General features: G+C 43.7%; 1 annotated feature.

Annotated features, from left to right (window-relative positions):
• Positions 5,014–5,173: an enhancer, noted in NCBI's record as "active region_16765". NCBI's record gives its function as "activates an Ori minimal core promoter by ATAC-STARR-seq in GM12878 lymphoblastoid cells {active_cell/tissue: GM12878}" and the evidence as "EXISTENCE:reporter gene assay evidence [ECO:0000049][PMID:35858748]".

The following is a 5,173-nucleotide window of genomic DNA, read 5'->3' as shown; positions in this document are numbered from 1 at the left end:
TCCTTTGTGACCACGCTTCTTAAATTTCTTGGTCATGAGAGAAAAAACTCGAGTGATACCTCACAACGAGAGACTACTACGTTGTGGTGCATTGGTGAAACTGTAAAACTTGTCTTGAACTCCTGCACTCAAGTGATCTGCCTGCCTTGGCCTTCTAATGTGCTAGGGTTACAGGTGTGAACCACCATGTTTGGCCTGAAATTAGTATTTTTTTTTTTTTTTTTTTTCTGAGATGGAGTCTCTGTCTGTCTCTCCGGCCGAAGTGCAGTGGCGCAATCTTGGCTCACTGCAAGCTCTGTCTCCCGGGTACACACCATTCTCCTGCCTCAGCCTCCCAAGTAGCTGGGACTACAGGCGCCAGCCACCACACCTGCCTAATTTTTTGTATTTTTAGTAGAGACGGGGTTTCACCATGTTAGTCAGGATGGTCTCGATCTCATGACCTCGTGATCCTCCCGCCTCCCCTCCCAAAGTGCTGGGATTACAGGTGAGAGCCTCCGCGCCTGGCCCTGAAATTAGTTTTAAGGAGGAGGTGGAGCCCCAAGTCCCTCCTGCTCTGCAGCTGCTGAGTGGCTGCCCCTCAATCACAAGACTAGAGGTCTGTCATCTTTACAAGATAAGATAAGGGTCTCTGAAGTGAGGGACTTGAACTTGAAAAGAGGTGATTAATGACAGTTCACTTTTCAAATATCAAAGCTCCAGCTTCTACCCAGTTTGGCTTTCAGACTTCTAGCCACCAGGCAAGTATTTTCCAGGCAGGAAAAAGGGAAAAGTATCTTTTGGGTACTTCTCTGATAATTCCAACAGAGAGATCTGATCTGCGATTCCTCAGGAAAACAGGCCCTCTCTCTGGAGGTGACCACACATTACTGAGTCATGAAATAAATTTAGTATATTGTGTCCATACAATAGGAAAAAAGTATCAGATTATATCACAATAATAAAGGGAAGTATTGAAGTATTGTGAAAAAAGTATGGTGAACCTTTTCTAAGATGCACGCACACACATTCACATACCCAGGGTTATCATGTAAAATACATTTCTTACTGTTGACTTGATCAAAACGTTTTGAAAGCCACTGCTCTGTGGTGAGATAAAAATTGATAAGCCACATTCATATGTTATGAGCTTCCATCAGCTTCTCTTCCTCAGTCTAAAAGATGACATTGGAGGATTGCATGGAATATAAAAAACAAAAACAGAAAAAAAACCCACAAAAAAATGGAGAAAAAGCAACTTGGAGAAAACAGAGACTCCAGAGGGGGGAAAAAAAAAAAGGCAGGGCTCAATGGCTCACGCCTGTAATCCCAGCATTTTGGGAGGCTGAAGGGGGTGGATACCTGATGTCAGGAGTTGGAGACCAGCCTGGCCAACATGGTGAAACCCAGTCTCTACTAAAAATACAAAAATTAGCCAGGCGTGGTGGTAGGCATCTGTAATCCCAGCTATTCAGGAGGCTGAGGCAGGAGAATTGCTTGAACCCAGGAGGCAGAGGTTGCAGTGAGCTGAGATGGCACCATTGCACTCCAGCCTGGGCAACAAGAGCAAAACTCAATCTCAAAAAAATATTCAAAAAAGAAAAGAGACTGCAGCTGGGCGTCGTGGCGTATGCCTGTAATTTCAGCACTTCTTAGGATACTGAGGCAGGAGGATTGCTTGAGCCCAGGAGCTCGAGACCAGCCTGGACCACATGGCGAGACCCCATCTGTATTTAAAAAAAAAAAAAGGGCCAGGCACAGTGGTTCACACCTATAATCCCAGCACTTTGGGAGGCCGAGGTGGGCAGATCACAAGGTCAATAGATCGAGACCATCTGGCAAACATGGTGAAACCCCATCTCTACTAAAAATACAAAAATTAGCTGGGTTTGGTGGCTCACGCCTGTAGTCCCAGCTACTTGGGAGGCTGAGGCAGGAAAATCACTTGAACCCGGGAGGCGGAGGTTGCAGTGATCTGCCACTGCACTCCAGATTGGCAACAGAGCAAGAACCTGTCTCAAAAAAAAAAAAAAAAAAAAAAAAAAGACTGCCTCCGTATGCTCAGAGATAAGATTATATTAAACAAGAATATTAAAGAAGGACTATTCAGAAAACAACAAAAGAAAAGCTTTTCAAAATAAAAAATAAAATTGTGGAAATGAAAACTGCAATAGAAGAGTTGGAAGACAGATGTAGGGAAATCTTGATCACTTCTGTATCCATTTCTAGCACCATACTCTTTGCAAATGAAACCATAATGAAAGATTTGTTAAATGACTAAATAGACTAATAACTGTAACACAGAGAGGGTAAGACATCTGCCCAAGGTCACACAGATAATTTTCAGAGCTAGGAATGGAAACCAGGTCACCTGGCTAAGAAATCTCTCTAACATCCTAGAATAATGCAATCAATGTATCAAAATGCTTAAATGTATTTTACATGATTAAGCACATGTTTTGTTTGCATTTTGATATGTGGTAGTGAGAAAAGAGTGGGCTGAACTGAGTGTGGCATTCATGGTTTTATCCTGAATCATCATCACTTCAGTCATGTCGATAGCGTCAGGGGCTCTGTGCCTGTCTTAGTCAGTGGCCTATAAACAACAGAAACTTCTTTCTCGGAATCTGGGAGGCTGGAAGTCCAAGGTCAGGTGCCAGCATGGTTGGGTTCTGGTGAGTACCCTCTTCAGTATTATATCCTCTCATGGAAGAAACAGGGCAAGAGAGCCCTCTGGGGTTCCTTTTTTTTTTTTTTTTTTTTTTTTTTTTTGGAGATGGAGTCTCGCTCTGTTGCCCAGGCTGGAATGCAGTGGTATGATCTTGGCTCACTGCAACCTCCGCCTCCTGGGTTCAAGCAATTCTCCTGCCTCAGCCTCCCAAGTAGCTGGGATTACAGGCGCATGCCACCACACCCCGCTAATTTTTTGTATTTTAGTAGGGACGAGATTTCACTGTGTTGCCCAGGCTGGTCTCAAACTCCCGAGCTCAGGCAATCCGCTCGCCTTAGCCTCCCTAAGTGCTGGGATTACAGGCCTGGCACCAATCCCATTCATGAGGTAGCCACCCTTATGACCTAATTAGTTCCCAAAGGCCCCACCTCCTAACACCATCACATTGGAGGTTAGGATTTCAACATATGAGTTTTGGGGGTGCCACAAACATTGAGTCTGTTAGTACCTATGATTTTTGTGGCGTTATTGGATATTCAAAGGATATTATCAATGACTCTGCTGAAGAGAGAGATACTGTGTAGTGAGAAAAGACCAATCTACAGAAGCCAACTATTTTAACGCTTGATTACGTATTCTGTATTAAAATAAAATGTTAGGATATAAACGTTGGACCATGAGTTTAACAGAATTTTTGAGAAAAAAAAAAAAAACAACAAACTCTTTGTGAGCCTGAATACTCAGAAAAGCCCAGAAAGTCATTCGGGTGGTGTTGCCTACGCTGGTAAACTCCTAAAGAAGAGGCAGATGGACATTTGGCTGTTCCTGCAGTTTTCAGTTAGAACATTCTGGTCCTTTCCAGCTGGGTCTAACATCAGGCCTATTCTGTTTTTCCACACAAGATGTTTACACATAGTTAAATATAATCTCTGCAGACTGTTATTAACTTTAGACATATAAAACTCCTTCTACATAACCTCCAACCTGTCACAAGCAAGGGTGTGATTCTTGGAGCTCTAGAAGTTTATTATAATAAAAAATTAGAGCTCATGCCTGTAATCCCAGCACTTTGGGAGACTGAGGTGGGGAGATCACTTAAGGCTGGGAGCCTGAGAGCAGCTTGGGCAACATAAGGAGACCCCATCTCTACAAAATTTAAAAATTAGCTGGGCATGGTGACGTATGCCTGTAGTCCCAGCTACTCGGGATGCTGAGTGGAGAGGATCACTTGAGCCCAGGAATTTGAGGTTGCAGTGAGCTGAGACTGCACCACTGCACTCCAGCCTGGGCAACAGAGCAAGACTCTGTCTCCAAAACAAACAAACAAAATGGATAAAAAGTTAAAGAGGGCCGGGCGCGGTGGCTCACGCCTGTAATCCCAGCACTTTGGGAGGCCGAGGCGGGCGGATCACGAGGTCAGGAGATAGAGACCATCCCGGCTAAAACGGTGAAACCCCGTCTCTACTAAAAATACAAAAAATTAGCCGGGCGTAGTGGCGGGCGCCTGTAGTCCCAGCTACTTGGGAGGCTGAGGCAGGAGAATGGGGTGAACCCGGGAGGCGGAGCTTGCAGTGAGCTGAGATCCCGCCACTGCACTCCAGCCTGGGCGACAGAGCAAGACTCCGTCTCAAAAAAAAAAAAAAAAAAAAAAAAAGTTAAAGAGAATTCTTCCACATCGTATATTGCCCATTACAAAAGATTTCTGCTGATCTCTATCTTCTTCAGGGGAGCATGGCTATTTTCTTTCAATTTATTGCTATGACATGTCAGGAGGTCTTTCTAGCTCAGATTTTTTTCCCTCTCTATTACCAAATAAAGCAATTTGTCTTATTTTGGATCAGAATAATAATGGTAATTAGGTCATAAGGCATATTGCTGTGAAAGTAAAAATTCGATGGAGTATCTTTGAAGCATGTTACCAGGATACTTTGGAGTTGGGTTTGTGGAAAACATGAGCTTAAATTAAGGTAAAGTTTTGATCCTCAGCAGTACTGCTTGAACCTGATAACAAAACTGTCACTGAATGCCAGTGCACACAGAGGTCCTTGTTTTGAGTGACTGCACACAGGAGGAAGGGGAGGAACAATGATCTGAAAACTTTGTGGGGTTCAATCAGCTCAGCAAGTTTCTAGCTAATGGACAGGGAATCATTTTGATGTGTCCCCTGCAGAGATGGCTTCTGTTAGTCTTCTTCAAGTACTTCCCTATACGTGGGGACATCTACTGGGGGTGGCTGGAATAAAGAAGAAGAAACCCAAGATTAAAAAATAATAAGGGACTCTGCATTCAAACACATCTGAGAGGACTGAAACTCGATTGGGTATGGAATCAACTAGTTACTACTCTAGTTTATGGGAAACCCCCAAACCAAGTTTCTCTATGAGACAGAATAATGTTCTGCCACTCAACTTCCAGTAACGACGGTCATGCAGAAATCACCTTAGAGATCGTCTATGTATGGCCTGTTCTCTTGCCTATGACATTGGCATGCATACGTAGTGATTTTCTAACAATGGGTATCAT

Source organism: Homo sapiens, chromosome 2 (assembly GCF_000001405.40).
Source record: "Homo sapiens chromosome 2, GRCh38.p14 Primary Assembly".
Classification (NCBI taxonomy): Eukaryota; Metazoa; Chordata; class Mammalia; order Primates; family Hominidae; genus Homo; species Homo sapiens.
This window is presented reverse-complemented; position numbering and strand designations above follow the sequence as displayed.